Genomic DNA, 17,460 nt, shown 5'->3' on the forward strand with positions numbered 1-17,460 from the left:
AGCTAGCTGCTCTTTAGTAGAAGAAATTTCAAGGAGGAGGTAGCATGCAAACGGGGGCTTAAAGAATATATGGGAATGTTGACAAGCAGAGATGATGAGTTGAGGGGTGGTCAAGACTTACAAATGGCAAAGTCAAAATTAGAGGTAGGAAGAGACACAGCGCAATTCAGCTAATTATAAATGATCAAATGTAGTAGGGGGCAGGGTCTGTAGGGGAAAGCAATGAGAGAAAAGATTGGAAGGCTGGCTAGGGCCAGGTTACACATGGCCTCAAATGTTAATTGGAAGCACTAGCAAATGGAGAAAAAGGCCGGGAGATGATCAGAAAGATAGTTCAGCTCTAGGCAAAGTGAACTGGAGAACAGAAGAGAGGCCGGCTATGTAGCACTCATGAGAATCTTTACAGGCAGATGCCAAACAAAATTAAGGTGAAAATGTCCTTTTTAAAGTGAATGGGAGAAAGAAACACCATTCTGATAGACATAGCTCATTCAGATTAATCAGCCAAGCAAACCATCACCACCACCATCAGCTTTATCTTCATCTTTGTCATTTACAGAAAGATAACTATTGCCAGCTCCTGACTTTATTTAATCCTAACAGCAACCCTACAAGGTATATATTATTGTTTCCACTTTGTAGATGAGGAAACTGAGGCTCATAGAGGTTAAGTATACACACAAGGTCACAAAGCTATAAAAGAGTTGGTATCAAGACCCAGATTTCCCTGATTTGAAAGCCTATTGTGGTCAAATCTGAGAATATTCTGAGAAAAGTACAGTTTTAGAAAAAATAATCCAGGAACAGGGAGAAGATATCTAGGGCCAAGACCCAAAGTGCCCCATGGAGAAACCAAGGCTCCACAGTGGTTCCACATATAGGTCCCCTTCGAGTCTTACCTTGCTCTCTCCTTCAATGACGACGACAGGCACAGCAGTGGCAGGCCAGCGGTGTTTGGCTGGTAGGGGCTTGTCACAATTCCATAGAACTATGATCTGAAAGGGATGGGGCTCATTAGATGGCTGGGGTAGGATGTATTTATGTATGCCTCCAACCCAAAGCCTCTTCTCAGAGACAGAAAGAGAAAGAGGAGCTGGAAATCTCAGCAAGACAAAACGGCAGACATCAAAACTGAGTTTTAAAGTGAGTCCATTCCCACACAACCTCAGAACATTATCACCCCAACAACTGGAGAGAGGACAGAAAGAGCAAACAAATAAACAAACAAACAAACAAACAAAACCAACTGTGTCCGGGAATAGGGGAAAGCTGCAGGAAAAAGAATTACGGTGGCTGGAGCTTAATAAAGTGGTTTCCTAAATTCTGATATCTTATGATGGTGTGTGAGATAACAACTCTGATCAAATTAAATAAAAATGTATACTGAGCATCTGAACATCTGCTCTGAACTTGCACTACACCAGGCAATGTGGGAGAAATAAAAAAATTCAAGCTAGAACTAAGATGAGCTCATGTTTTGCATGCTCTAGAATGGTTGCTGATTTTATGTGACTTTATAATTTCCAATAAAGGCATTTAGTTCAAAAATGCATACTTCCTTATTGAATTCTTTCCTTGTTTGTAAACCTTCTTGTATAAACTAATTCACAAATCAGAAAAACCACCGTTCAATATGGGAGGAACACTGATTTGGAAAATATTGTTACCATAGGCATAATCGTCTGCTCCCAATTTTATAATTAGTCATAGTTGCTATGAAAAGAAAAGTTGACACTTCATGACACCAACAAGTCTGCTTCTTCTATTGAAGCTTAGTTGTCTGGGTCCTCCCAGAGGCTTTTTGGATGTTACTTTATCATTTTGACATTTAAAAACAAAATCATGTGCTTGTATCTTCTTTAGAGACTATGTTGGTGTATGTATATATACTTTTTAACTCTATACCAGTGCTAAGGTCTCTCTGTAACCCATCCCTTCCCTGTGCAGATTTCACTTCCAAGAATTTCTAAGTGGATGAAAAGGGTGTAACGAGGCAGGATGAATGAAAGGGAGTAGCAGGGTATGATGTTAGAGAAGTCCCGGGGAGCCTGGGGAGCCCGGGGGATAACAGGTAAGGAGGGCGGAGTCTCTGGTCTGGAGCTGGAGCAGGCAGGGGCTTCTCTGTCAACTTCCCGCTCACCTGGGCACAGTACTGGGACTTGGCTGCAGCCACGAGAAGCTTCAACACTGGCTGGGACTGAGAGACCAGGGGGGTCACCGCATGGATGACTGCAGTGAATTTGGAGGGGGGCTTTAAACCTGAAATAAAAAGGAGAGTAGAGCCTAATGAAGCGCTGGAAAGCAAGACTTAGAAAATTACTCCTCCTTGCTCCGCTGCCTCATGCTGGAGCAAATGTTCCCTCCTGGATGATTTCTCCTTTGCTTCTTATGTCCTGACAGGACAGAAACAAGATGAAAAGCTGCTGGTTAGCTACTGCCTGAGTCTAGAGACCTCAATAAATTCCAGATCAATGTCCACTTCTAGGTTCTTGCTTTGACATCCTTTGCCCCTCTTGGTGATGTTTCTGTGATGTCCCTTTGGCTTTTTAGGTACCCAGTGTCCAAATACACACAACACTCACCACCCTTCATGTGCTGTCTCTCCCATGGTATTTGCATGTGTCTGATTTTTAATTATGTAATGAAAGGGTTCTACCTGACTAATCGTATTTCAAATAACTAGCTAGTGGGAAAAAAGGTGAAAGGAAGAGCATCCAGGGCCTGACTGTCTAGGTCTGAATCCCAGATCTACCACTTACTGGTCGGGGGACCTTGGAAAGATTACTTAACCCTCTGTGTTTCCACAGCTGGGAAACAGACCTGATAGTAACAGTGCCAAATATGGGGTTATCTTGAAAATTCAGTAAGTTTGTCTGGGCACGGTGGCTCACACGTGTGATCCCAGCAATTTGGGAGGCTGAGGCGGGCAGATCACTTGAGACCAGCAGTTCAAGACCGGCCTGGCCAACATGGTGAAATTCCGTCACTACTAAAAATACAAAAATTAGCTGGGCATGGTGGCATTTGCCTGTAGTCCCAGTTATCGGGAGGCTGAAGCAGGAGAATTGCTTGAACTCTGAAGACAGAGGTTGCAGTGAGCCAAGATGGTGCCGATGGTGCCACTATACTCCAGCCTGGGCAACATAGCAAGACTCCGTCTTAGAAAAAAAAAAAAAACTTAATGCATACAAAGCACTTAGAACAGGACTTAACAAATGACAAGTACTCAATATATGTCAGCAGCTACCATTATCATCACCCTCACCAACATTATTATTTTGGAGAAGAAGCCTCCATATTCCCAGAATCTCTTCTTCGTGTAGCAGTGATATAGCTGAGAAAAAAAGTATGTGAGGCAGACTTTTGCCAGTTGTGAGCTCTGAAGCCCTAGGTTAAAAAGGATCATAGATATGCAAAACAACCACTGTCACCAAAGAGACAGAAGTGAGATGGCTTCCCCCCAAGGAGTTTTCCCATAAGAACTCACTAAGAAATTAGAGACAGGTTAAGAGCCTTTTAAAACTTCATTAGTTTAGACCCACTAATTTGGCACTTTAGTGGCTTAACTGCGAGCAACACAGTGCAGGGACATTCAAGTTACGCTTTGATACTGATGGGATAAAGGCTAGAATCAGACTATATGTGTATTACAGGATTATACAAAGGTTTTGTAGAGAAAATTATATCATCCAGCAGCACTTTAATTGTATGTTAGAAAGAAGTTAACCTTCCCAATATCTAGATACATATTCAAAGTTTTGCCGAGTAAGAAGAATAAGCGTGATTGAGGGATTGCCTTTTAAACAGGAACGACAAGTCATTGTCTTTAAATTTTCCTGCAATAGTTTAAGAAGCATCATTTATACACCTCTAATGTGCTAACTCCAAAGGAAGATCTAAATATTGTACAAGAAATATACAGAAATTCTTGTCAACCAGTGCCTTAATCTGACAATTTCTAAATTCTGTTACCCAAATGTCAACAATATACTGAATTAGAGATGGTTCCCATAACAGGTTTGGTTTGGATTAAAAGGTGCTTTGTCACTGGTTGATGCTTCAGGCCATGCATTTCTTTAGGTTTCATCTCATCAGTTTCAAACTAAACATGTACAACTTAAAAGGGTGAGGGTGTTACGGAGAACAACGGCACTGAATGGAAAATCTTGTCTTTTTGCTGTATCAGCTTGGAAGATGCTTTCCTGTCCTAGGCTTTCTCAAGTTTAGAACTGTAACTGATGGGAAATGTTCATGATGTTTCTAACATGAGAGCAACTGGGGGTCCAAATACATAAATGTCTAAGGCAATAACAGTAGCCGGTGGTAGAGATTTATCCCTCCGCCATTCCCTTTTCCCTACTGTGATTAGACTGAAAACCGCTTGAAAGCAGAGATTGTATCTTATTTGACTTTTTATTTCTAGTACCCAGCAATACATTAGCATAGCACATAGAAGGAGCATAATAAACCTTGGAAAAATGAATAAATTTGTGCTTGTCACACATTCTTAGTTATTTCTCCTTTCCTCTTATTCAGTTTTTCTTTGGTAAGGAATAGAGATATTGGGATTGTGAAAAAAAAAATTGGGGAGAGCTCTCCATTTTATATATGATGAGGCTTAAAATGATAGCTAACCCATTGCCATGTTCAAAATGATCCATAATTTGGGGAGCCTATTTCTCAAAAAGAAATAACTCTACTAAATATGAAGTAGAGCTGCACAGATAAGAAGTTTTTCTTTTTTTCCATTTTGCAATGCTCTGCTCTGTTTTTGAACTTGATATGTCACTTATAACAAGGCTCTAGAAAAAGCAATCTTCAATGCAGGGTGTTAGATGGACCCCATTAGAGTAGAAGAATAAAGGCCTTTAGTTCTGTATGACATCTTCAGGGTAAACAAGGGCAACTCCCTGGAGGAAATTCACTTACCTAAATTAGCATAGTAGTAAGGAAAATCTCCCAGATAAGATGAATACTGTGGTAGTACGAACAATCCTCCAGGATGTTTGTTCCATATTAAACTGTTACGTGATATGTGCTTGAATATTCTGTCCTGAATAATCTAGAAAATAAAACATAGCACACAGTGAGGATGAGATCCTGATGATATTTGGAAAGGATGATGCTCAATCCAAATTCGAAAGATGGTGGCAGTCAGAGTAGTGACTCTACCCTCCCTCCCACTTTAATTCTCCGGATAAAAATGTCTGCAAGACAGAGAGAGTAATGGAGCAATGAAAAAGAGTGAGAGAAACATATGAATTATAGCCAATCAAATTTCCTAATTAAACTTCAGTTAAACCATAAGTTCTATCTTGTCTTTGTATAATAATGAGTCCATGCTCATTCCAAAATAGACTGTGTGGAGCAGTTAGTCTTTCCCTGATGGTTAAACTTCTAAGAACTAAGATAGGTTCCAGGCCCCTATCAAGAAGATCTGTTCTCAGAGAACAAGAGAGGTCAATGTAGACCTGTAGATGCTAAACGGAAAGCATATTCAAGACATGACACATTCTAGAAGCTATTGAGGTTTTCAGCTGTTCCTTTAATTCAAGAGGTAGATGTGTATACTTGTCATATTTCATTTTCCTTTCAAAGTCAATTGGAGGACTTTGGGTGCTGGTTACTGAAGTTTTTCTATATTTCATCTTGAAAAGTAGTGAGTTAACAATTGCTTAAAACATCCTACATAATAGGACAAGAACCATGGCATATGAAGACTAATAATAGCCAAGCTAGTTCATTAGTTTCTTTGGACTTTGGGACCTTGCAGATCATTAAATTCTACATTTAGAGTCAAACATCCTCCCATCCCGAATCATTTGTCAGTTGAATGTGATTAGTCCACTTTATAGCTTTCTCTCTGTGACTTTCAAACTCTTACAATTATACCATCCACTCATTAGAATATGATTTGGCAAATAATTAACTTGGTACAGAATTTTATGTTTTCAGCAATTTTTTTTACATTAAAAAAAAAAAAGAAAAAAATCCTGCCGTAAGTTTTAAGACATTTAAGACCCAAATCACCATTTTCCAGGTCTCCATTTAATGCAATGTGATTTTAAGTACAGACTATTTTAAATGGAGTTTTATTATTTGCTAAGGTTATTAACACCCTCATCTCATTCCACATGGTGACTAGATAAGTAATAAAGTGGGCTACATTTATCTTTGCAAATCTTATGTTTATTTTCCTAATGACAGAGAAGGAAGCAAGGAGGAAATTCAAAAGAACTCAAATATCTTAGTTCAATGATTTCTGCATCTTATCTTTCACCCAGATCAAAACTGCTAATTTTATATGGCTGGATAGAGGTTTCTAATTTGGTGGAGACTTTAGGAACCTAGTGAAAATATTTATTTTTACTTTTTGTGGTACAACAGGGATATGTTAAAATGCTGTTGTCTTGGCATTAATTATGAGAAAATTGTCATAGTTGTGAAGGACTTTTTACATGGTTAGCAATTTCACTTTGTACAACATTTATTCCTGCTTTTTATTATTTGTACTTTCCAAACGTACTGTCTATTTATTTCCTTTTTATAGTTTCTCTTTAGATCCTCCTTTTTTTGTTTTTTTCTTTTCAAATTTATGTACCTTTTAGGATGTGGTCACTTAAATAAGTTTGGATATCAAGATAGAAAATAAATTGACAATAGACAGCATTATAAATCGAACCTACAGACAAATATCATGGAACTCACAGCTGTCACAAAATGGGTCATCATTCCCATCAGGTCTTTGGATGGTATGCTTGTCATTGTCATAGACTATCTTTTTGGTTCGGCATCACAACATTGTTATCTTTTAAAATTCAAAGATATGATAATAAGATATAGCACTCTTCTGAAATAACAACAAGCATTTTATACTGTCTTCCAACGGATCTTGACAGAAAGACATAGGACAGGTACGAAAGCAGTAGCAAATGTTGAATTTAACGTGGGTCAAGCAATTTGCCACCTTTGTGTATTATTTTCCTCATTTGTAATAAAACAATAAAATACCACATTAATTATAACAACGTCTCAGAATTTAAGAATAGCTGCCTAAGTTGTTATACTTAAGGCTTGATTTTTGCCTTTAAAAAGAAACTCACTCCTGTGTTCGTTTTCTAGGCATTGGTTTTTCCATTTATTACATAGTGGTAATAGTATAGATATTACATAATACAGCTATTTTTACATATTAATAGTATTCATGATTCATTATTCTTAATGACCAGTTTAGCAATTTTTTCCATGCAAAGCAATGAACATATTTACGAATAAAATTTTCCACATTTAGGATTGATTATTCTTCTTCTTCTTTTTCTTTTTTTGTTTTTGTTTTTGTTTTTGTTTTTGAGACAGGGTCTCATTCAGTTACGCAGGCTGGAGTGCAGTGGTGTGGTCATGGCTCTGTGCAGCCTCAAACTCCTGGGCTCAAAGGATACTCCCGCCTCAGCCTCCTGAGTAGCTGGGACCACAGGAGAGGGTCACCACACCCAGCTAATTTTTTATTTTTATTTTTTGTAGAGATAAGGTCTCATTATGTTGCTCAGGCTGGACTCAAACTCCTGAGCTCAAGCAATCCTTTCTCCCCGGCCTCCCAAAGTGTTGGGACTACAGGTGTGAGCCACCGCTCCAGACCAGAATTGATTCTGTAGGACCTTGTCAAAGGGTATAAATACTTTTAAGGCTATTCATTAGTATTGCCAAGTGTCTTTCTAAAAGGTTTATATCAACTTGCCTTCTAAAAGCATAAAGAAATATGGAATTCATTTCACCATATAGAAAGATCATTTTTTTCCCTCTGCAATTCTTCCTATCACTACCCTGGATAGCTCCCAGAATCTTTTCATGGCACTTAGTGCTTAGTCTTTATTGTGGTGGAAGAAGACATCACATTAGAGGTTGGATGCTTCTTTGGCTATAAACAAAATCAATACACACACACACATACACAAACAGATAATACAAGACTTTTTTTGTTATGGTCCTAGATGGCCCCCTCGATAAGGACAATATTTCTAATTGATGTGAATTCAAAGGGAAGAATGACAGGCTCCTTATTTTACTTTTATGTATCCTCTGTTTTCCAAATAATGGACAATTGGTTATAGGTTAAAGTCATTCTATGTAGCCCTTCATCTTTTAACCAGAGCACTGTAGCCTAAGATACACGATGCCACCATATGCCACCTCACTTGAAGCCAGATCAATTGTCTATTTCCATTACCCCATTGATTTTTAAATATCATTGTATGATAGCATCAGCAATACTATGGTTCGTATGTGCATGATTAGATAACTGAGGAGGAAAATGAAGCATACTTCATTAAAACTCCACTAACTATATACCTTCCTAGCTACCACTGGCTCTTTTCACATATTATCATAATCTCAGGCACTTTCTTTCACTCATCTTGATTATGACTAAGCTCCAATGATTCAATCCTTAGTGCAGGTTATTGTGCAATATTCTGACAAATAATGGAATCCATGAAGGAGCACTGTTTTTGCAGTGTTTTTTCATTGTCCTCATTGTTAGTTCTCAATTTTCACAAAAGTACTGAGCTCTACAGAGCCTAGTTTGATTAAATAGCTCCTTATTACCAAGATGCAGCATTAGAGAATTTCAATCAAACTGGAAAAACTAAAAGAATCCTAGACAGAGTTCTGTACAATGAAACGTACTAACAACCTGACCCTGGCATTGAAGAGAAAATGAGATGTCCTGTTTTCAACTGAGTCTAAGCACTCTACCTACAACTCTAGGGCTCATAATTGCTGAAGACCCCATAATCCCATTCCCATGGCTTAGAATATACCAAGCAAGGAGAAAGACCTAGAGTCTGAGTACAGAACATCCTTAGCCCAGGATCTTCAACTCTATGCTGTAACTGTGAGTAACTATGAATTATTCTCGTGCCTTAGTAGCTCCAGCAGTGACTAAATGAAGTATATTATCTAAGTTCTAAGCCAAGTTCACATCTTTGATACGTGATACTTAAATTGTTCTTATAAACACATTTGCTGTGTTATTTGTATCTGTGGATGGCATTTTCTTCTATTTCCCCTGATTTTTTGATTATGTTGAATTCTGGGGTAATCTGAGTTATGAAGTATTTTGGGAAACTGGGTAGTACCTGTCATGCAACTTGGTTGAGAGGTCAAACTGTTACAATCCAATCTTGGAACTATATAAAGAGATTTGACAGTTGCTATAAATTCGAATGAAGTGTATGGTTTTTAGTGTTTAAAAAAACCCCAAAACTGTGTTGCTAAAAAAAAATAATAATAATACATGGTTTAAATACAAAGGGAAAAGGCCTTTTCAGGTTCAGAGATGAAAACAGCTTGATCTTATTTTGATCCTATTCTGATGAATGTAAGACATTCAACTGTTACAATAGAAAAATTGAGAACTGCTAACTTAATAGGTGAGAGACCATATTCATGCAATAAACCATATGCAAAAGACATGTAATTAATGAGATACCATCTTTCATCTGGCAAATCAGCAAAGTGATAGATGTGTGTGTTTTAATTATGGATCTGTAAGACTGACAAGAGCACAGCAAAAGAGAGTCACGCCCAGACAGCTTGTGAGATTCTAGGTGGATATAATGTTTTTGGATAATAATTTGGCAAAATATATTATAAGCCTTAGAAATGCCTAGGCTCTTTGGCTCATTAAAATCACTTCAGGGATTCCATCCTAAAGAAATAGAGATGTAGTTTAAGATACATGTAGAAAGTCATTGCTTAGATAAAGATATAGTTATCTATAAAAAATAAAAAGAACATTAATAGTAAATAATGGCATATTGGTTTAAGTAAATAGAAGTTCACAATAGGATGCATAATAGAGTAAAAAAAATTAAAACACTGGAATGTGCTCTGGATGTATTAGAGGTAAACAACTAATAGGATAGAATTGAAAGGCCAGAAACAACCCAAAGATACATAAAAACGTCATGAGAAAACACTGAAGAAAGAAATGTATTGGGGCTGGGCATGGTGGCTCATGCCTGTAATCCCAGCACTTTGGGAGGCCGAGGCAGGCAGATCACTTGAGGTCAGGGGTTGGAGAGCAGCCTGGCCAACATGGTGAAACCCCATCTCCATGGCGCATGCTTGTAATCCTAGCTACTTGGGAGGCTGAGGCCTCAGAAATGCTTGAACCTGGGAGGTGGAGGTTGCATGAGCTGAGATGGTGCCACTGTACTCCAGCCTGGGGGACAGGGTGAGACTCTGTCTCAAAAAAAAAAAAAAAAAAAAAAAAAAAAAAATCTTAACATTTGGCATATTATTTGAAACGGACTTCAAATTCAAGGAATTTATCCTAAGGAAGTAATATTGAATCTGCACAATAATTTGACCTTGAGATGATTTACTGCAATGATGTACATAAAGGAAAAAAGCCAGAAACAACTGGAATCTACCCAAATTGGGGATTAATTTAATAATTAGATGATATCATAAATGGAATATCATATAGTCATTAAATGGAGAAAAAATGTAATAACATGAGAAAATATTAACATTATTAAGCAGAAAAACAGGTTACAATGCAAGTATATAAAGACTCCTTTTTAAAATTAAAAGTACAACAAATTTTAAATTTACATATAAAAATGAATATATATGTTTGTGGGGATATATATATCAATAGTGGTTTTACATGAATGAATTATTTTATATTTTATGCTTTAAGTGTTTTCTATTAGTTTCTAAAATGAATGTATACTTCTTTAATAATAACTCCTTTAATCCCACCAATTTGGGTAGTCGAGGCAGGAGGACTGCCTGAGCCAGGAGTTCAAGACCACTCTGGGCAACATAACGAGACCTTGTCTCCACAAAAAATGAAAAATTAGCCAGGCACAGTAGCTCGCGCCCATGGTCCCAGCTACTCAGAAGACTGAGGTGGGAGGATTGCTTAAGGTCATTCCAGCCTGGTGACAGAGTGAGATCCTGTCTAAAAAAAAAAAAGAAAGGCACTCTGCACTCCAAAAAGGGAGAAACAATAACATTCAACATTCTTTAAGAAGGGCCTAGGAAGGATCTTAGATGGAGGACAGGATTAAAAAAGCAAAGGGTAACTCTATTAGCTACTGTGAACAGAGGTAACAACTCAATTGATTTTAATTGAGGAGATTGCTTTTGGAGGGATAAAAGTTTGCTTGCAGGAAGGAAGCCCTTGGAAGTCATTATGATCCTGTCCCCTTCATGGGAATGGGCCTGGGTCTTAAACAGCCCCTTTTACCCAGTTCCAGGATGAAAAAAATACACACTATGCCTAAGAGAACACTGACCAGAGCTCGCCCTAGGGTGGGAGCAGGAGCCCAAGCTCAGCATGGGGTGGATAAATGCCCTGGTGTGCCTGGAGCATGACCAGCACTGGCTCTGATAGTCAGGATGGCAAGAAAACAGCGATGTGGACCAAGTAGGGTGACTTCAGTTTCTTGGTATTACTCAGATTTCTCAGTGTAGGTTCCATATTACATTAGCTTTTAGAGCAGTCATCACTCTTCCAGAGTGAATTCTCCAAAAGGAAGGCCACAATGCCCCCACCTCATTTTGGGACACCTCAGAATCACCTCAACGAAGATCTCTGCTCTCCTTTCTTCAAGCTTGTAATGCATGCGTGTGCAGTTTCCTGAATCTTTTCCTAGCTCTTTGTGCTACTTCGGTGTAGCCTCAGGCCAATGCTATCTGCTCTATTTCCAAAGGTTTTAATCATCTCCATGCTTCCTTTTTCTTTTTCCGTCCTGCCTTAAAAAAAAAGCAACTTGAGGACGGGCGCCCATCTGCCTAAAAGATTTTCTGCTTTCACAAATTTAACACTTTCTGTGCCACATGGGTATGATCCTGATTCTCCTCTTAACACAACTTTGCCACATTGACGCTGGTTGGCTGGCTTGCCTAAGTCTTGAGAATTCTGCTGTCCCGCAATGCCATTGGACTGTGGTGCCCAGAAAACTACTCATATTTTTGGAATGGTAGAGGATTTGCCCTTACTTGGCCATTATATATATTTTTCTTTTTTTTTTTTTTTTTTTTTGAGGTGGAGTTTTGCTCTTGTTGCCCAGGCTGGAGTATAATGGTGCAATCTCAGCTGACTGCAACCTCCACCTCCCAGGTTCAAGATATTCTCCTGCCTCAGCCTCCCGAGTAGCTGGGATTACAAGCGTGTGCCACCATGCCTGGCTAATTTTTTGTATTTTTAGTAGAGACGAGGTTTCACCATGTTGGCCAGGTCTTGAACTCCTGAACTCAGGTGATGCACCTGCCTCAGCTTCTCAAAGTGCTGAGATTACAGGAGTGAGCCGCTGTGCCAAGCCATTAAATATTTTTTTCTAAATGAACTCCAGAAATATGTCTTCGAAGGATGCCATTGAGTGTAAATGACAAGACAGTCATGACCCACATATCCCTGAAATGATGTAAGACAGAGTCAATCTCTGTGTCAATAAGTATAATTTCTCCCCATGTAGGTTTTCCTTTGTGGAGTTTGTCAGGAATGAGAGTATTTTCTTGGCCATGGCAAAGCAGGTAAAAGAGGTTAACCAATATATCCAAGTACAGGAATCTGGTTTTGCCCCACTGGACCAATCACACATCCCTAATAGCAAAACAGAAGGCTGAGAGAAGTGTATAAAGGACCATTATTCAAGCCCAAGAGCCAAGTGGTCTCACTTACCTCTAGTGTAGTTAATACAATCTTCTCAACTGAAGAAAAATAAGCCTCCCACAAGAATTGTGTCTGCTGTCTAAGTGCTAGGATTTTATCCTGATGAATAGACCTGATTGTAGAAGGAATCTGTAACACAAGGTGAACACATAGGAATTATAACTGTAAAACAAAGAGATGCACTTGATCAAAATAACCCAACTGGGTTAGGCTTTTATTCTTCATAGCATTTGGCTTCTAGCATATAGATCTACTAAAAATCATCAATTCCTAAGTTGAAATGACCTTAAGAAGTGTCAGCTGCAAAGAGCACTTACTGGGAATCCACCCCAATGGCCTTTGATGTATGAAAGTTACAGTTCACCTCTAAGATTCAGTAGCACCTTATCAGTTGCTTAGGTTAGTCTATAGTCACAATTGCTGTTTCCAGAAATCCTTGACCTTGCACATGAACAACCAAATTTTATAGAGGGGTAACTATAGGTCTTGGGGAAAGGCCAGAAGACTTTATCTCCCAAGCACTTCTATGATTGGTCACCCCAGGAACTATAAAATATCTATAAAAGGACTTTTTAGAGAATGTCTATGAGCCTTCCCATCCAATCTGAAGCTAGGGTCAGTCACTTTTATGTGCACATACCTTCTACCTCACCTTTGAGCCTTTCTGCTCCCTATATCTCTCTTTCTGCCTTCAGCCTTTACCCAAGTCTAACTGGATCTCTCAATTGTTCATATATGATTAGCCATCACTGCTCTCTTCCAGGGTATACAATTTTAAAGGAAGGACCTATATCTTGTTATCCTGCTACACATTTTCAGGTTAGCAGAGTGGATTTTATATAGTAGTTATTAAGAAATAGGAGGTGAATATAACCATCTGAAGCCACCACAGGGACGTCATTATTTTTAATGGTAGTATAACTGAATGGTCAGGCACAGGGGCACAGAAGTCAGAAAGATCAAGGAAGGAGTGTTGCCTCTAGCAGCATTTACTACCTGTGCTTTCTTGAATGAGTTAGCTGATTTCTCAAAGACTCCACTTCTTTACTTATAAAGTGGGGATAAAGTACTAAGGTTTTAATGATGATTATATAAGTGCTTAGCACAGTGCCTAAAACATGGAAAACTTAATTAATGTAACATCACTACTATTATCATTATTGGTATCAGGGTGATGCTATTAAAAGCTGGATCAATTGCTTAATGTTTGCAAGGGAACCTACTTGGGTCTGGAGCTCTGAAATGTACTTCCTGAGTCTGGTAAGTTTTCTGGGCTTGTTCCCTATTTTCACCTACAGTTCAAGGTCTATTTCATTTACGGAGTCTATAGTCTTTAGGGAAGATTCCTTGTGATTTGCAATTGCCCTTTTGTGCTCACCTCTTTCTGCATGCTTGCCTCCATAACATATGACTAATCCGACAGATATGGGAGTCTGAGCAAGAAGGAGAAATGCTCCGTTAGCTGCTTTAATAGGAAAGTCACCCATGGCATTTGACTAAGACTGTAACAGAGTTTCCATTGGAGGGGAAGGAAGTGGTAGCACATTTTTTAATTCAGCACTCCCCTTAGGAGGAGCAATAAAATAGCTTCACAGTAAGAACAGAAGGAAAAGCTCACTTGGTTTGACAATGTCCAAAACCAGATACTAAATCTGTGTCCCAAAGTGTATACCTGGATTTGCAACACTGAAAAAACAGAGGCAACATGTAAAGGAGAAATACTGGCAGGCAAACATTAGCCTGTAATCAGAGCCCAAGGTCAAATGGAAATAAAACATTCTTTGAGAAGGTAGACAAATCATTTATATCATAGAACCTTTATCAGTGCAAGGAAACTTATTTTTAGTTACTCACTGAGAAAGTTACCTAGATGGCCAAAGAAAGATTAGAAAAAAACTATCCTGTTCAATTTTCATAATCATACCCTCTTCTAAATGTCAAGAGGTAACTGCTAAGAGTTATATAGGTTGGCATCACTGTTTTATCGTAGCCACAAGGAAACAGTCTATTAGAAAAATGCCTAAGGCCGGGCGCGGTGGCTCAGCCTGTAATCCCAGCACTTTGGGAGGCCGAGGCAGGCGGATCACGAGTTCAGGAGTTCAAGACCGGCCTGGCCAATATGGTGAAACCCCATCTCTACTAAAAATACAAAAATTAGCTGGGCATGGTGGTGTGCACCTATAGGCCCAGCTACTCGGAAGGCTGAGGCAGAAGAATTGCTTGAACTGGGAGGCAGAAGTTGCAGTGAGCTGAGATTGCACCGCTGCACTCCAGCCTGGGTGACAGAGCAAGACTGTCTTAAAAAAAAAAAAGAAAAGAAAAGAAAAGAAAAATGCCTAAAGCTGTCATTGCTATATAGTCTCCAGAAAATTGAGTCTGCTGTGGTTATGAAAGGAGAAAAGGAATATCACAGACTCACCTACCAATGCTGTTCCCCTCTCTTAAATAACATGCATCTTCATCTTACTACATCAAGTGCAATGTATTCTACCGGCTTGTGATATGATACAAGTGTCTGACAGCACTCTGCAAAGTGCTCTGGAAGACAACTCCAATTGATTGAAAAGACAGAGTTCCAAGTTTTAATGGCACTTGGCTATTGGTTATTAATCTGCTTGTCCTGAGAGACAGGTATGGGAAAGTGATAAATTAATTCCAATTTGGCTGGATTGTTTTGGAAGTTGCCGAGCTCAATGAAGTCTTAATAAAAGGTCATGTATGGTAGCAAAACAAATGGAATGCACCAGAATAGATACAAGAAAGTCACATTAAGCTCTCTTGGTGACATGATGACAAGAATATATGCAAATAAAAACATCCCAGCTGTTCTAAAACAGGAAATAAAAAATTGTAACATAACAAAAAAACATTTCCCAGAGCAGACATTTGGGCTGGGTGCCAACTCTTTAAAACCATTGTTAATGATAGTACACAGTTGCTGCTCAATATGGAGGCAGCTGTGCAAAGACAGACTGAATATGAGAGGGGAAAAACACCAGCAAGTCTGGGTGGGTGGGGGTGACAAAAATCAAAATCTTTAGAGTCAAGCCAAAAAGTTGCTTCAGAAGGTGAAATGCCCATCAAGTTTGGTGAAATGGTAGAAACTGGACAAGTGGCTGGGCGCGCTGGCTCACGCCTGTAATCCCAGCACTTTGGGAGGCTGAGGCAGGTGGATCACGAGGTCAGGAGTTCAAGACCAGCCTGGCCAACATGGTGAAACACCATCTCTACTAAAAATACAAAAATTAGCTGAGTGTGGTGGCAGGCACTTGTAATCCCAGCTACTCGGGAGGCTGAGGCAGAAGAATCGCTTAAACCCGGGAGGTGGAGGTTGCAGTGAGCTGAGATCATGCCATGGCACTCCAGCTTGAGTGACAGAGCGAGACTCCATCTCAAAAAAAAAAAAGAAAGAAACTGCACAACCACAATTAAGTATCCTAAAATGCGCTCCATACCAAAGACAAACTTTCAATTTGTTCACATCAAATTCATGGGAGCATTGGTATATAAAAGGAAAATTATGGGTGGTGTTTTTTATTCCCTTTATTTCTCAAATTTCTTTTAATGATCATGTATTATTTTTAAAATAACATTTGAAAAAGGAAGAAAAAAGGCTACATGGACAAGCACAACATGCATCACTCTTGTTTGGCTTTTCATGAATAAATGATTTTAGCATACACTATCTCTGCATGGGGAAAACTCTTCCTCAGTGTTTCTGCAAGGACTTCTTTTCCTTAAGGAATCACAGTGGGAAATCATTGGCATAAAAGTGGCCCTTTCACAAAAACTCCAGACCCCTTTCTCAATGAACACCTAAGAAATTAAGTTGTATTCAGGGCAGAATAACTTATTCCCCCAAAAACAGATTCTGTCACATTCCTCCTTTGTTTCTGAGATAATAGGGACTATGGAGATCACAAACTGAGTGCCAGACAGAAGTAATGTTTCAGGAGCTGTGGTCACTTTAGTTTGCTTAACCCATGGGTCTCTCAGTTACAGTTAGTTCATTTGTTATTTTAGGGAAAGTGCTGTATTACTTCAGCAGTCAGCTAGCAGACTGGGCAGCAGCACAGAAGGAGAATCAACAACAGACTTAAGAGGCCAGGCGCGGTGGCTCACACCTGTAATTCCAGCACTTTGGGAGGCTGAGATGGGTGAATCACCTGAGGTTAGAAGTTCGAGAACAGCATGACCAACATGGTGAAATCCCATCTCTACTACAAATACAAAAATTAGCCAGGCGTGGTGGTGTGCACCTGTATTCCCAGCTCCTCGGGAGGCTGAGGCAGGAGAATCGCTTGAACCTGGGAGGCAGAGGTTGCAGTGAGCAGAGATCACACCACTGCACTCCAGCCTGGGCGACAGAGTGAGACTCCATCTCAAAAAACACAAACACACACACATACACACACACAGACTTAGAAACTCAATTTAATGAATATCCAAAAACTAAAAGGGCAAAGACATTAAAAAAAATTCTACAAATATTTGTGGTAATTCAAAGATAAAGTGTATGGTACAACAAAAGAAAAACATTAAAGTTCTAGAATTTTAGGAGAAAAGAGCACGGCAACTTGTGTTGATCCTAAAATATGAATATACAAAGGGCTTTAGAAATCCTTAGTAATTTAAAAAAAAATAATACATGATCATTCCTGCCCTCAGATTTTTCTGAGTATCGTATCCCCCTCCCTAGGCAGCTCTTGAGCAATTCAAACTTTTATTAGGGGCTGCTCATTTAAATATAAATCCTAAAGATAACACTCGCTCAG

At 39.1% G+C, this 17,460-nt stretch overlaps 1 protein-coding gene across 1 annotated transcript in view, besides 1 other annotated feature; it reads right to left on the reverse strand.

Annotated features, from left to right (window-relative positions):
• Nucleotides 1–17,460, reverse strand: part of EXT1 (exostosin glycosyltransferase 1) — a 317,337-nt gene that overhangs the window by 23,046 nt on the left and 276,831 nt on the right. Inside the window, exons 4-7 of the mRNA NM_000127.3 lie at nucleotides 12,695–12,814; nucleotides 4,930–5,062; nucleotides 2,141–2,259; nucleotides 900–995 (exon numbers count right to left, since the gene is read on the reverse strand). Of these exons, the coding sequence (NP_000118.2) occupies nucleotides 900–995; nucleotides 2,141–2,259; nucleotides 4,930–5,062; nucleotides 12,695–12,814 (468 nt within the window). The remainder of the gene's footprint in view (nucleotides 1–899; nucleotides 996–2,140; nucleotides 2,260–4,929; nucleotides 5,063–12,694; nucleotides 12,815–17,460) is intronic.
• Nucleotides 14,035–14,329: a silencer, noted in NCBI's record as "tiled region #14285; HepG2 Repressive non-DNase unmatched - State 15:Elon". NCBI's record gives its function as "represses a minimal TATA promoter and a strong SV40 promoter by Sharpr-MPRA in HepG2 cells {active_cell/tissue: HepG2}" and the evidence as "EXISTENCE:reporter gene assay evidence [ECO:0000049][PMID:27701403]".

This window comes from Homo sapiens, chromosome 8 (genome assembly GCF_000001405.40).
Source record: "Homo sapiens chromosome 8, GRCh38.p14 Primary Assembly".
In the NCBI taxonomy this organism is placed as follows: Eukaryota; Metazoa; Chordata; class Mammalia; order Primates; family Hominidae; genus Homo; species Homo sapiens.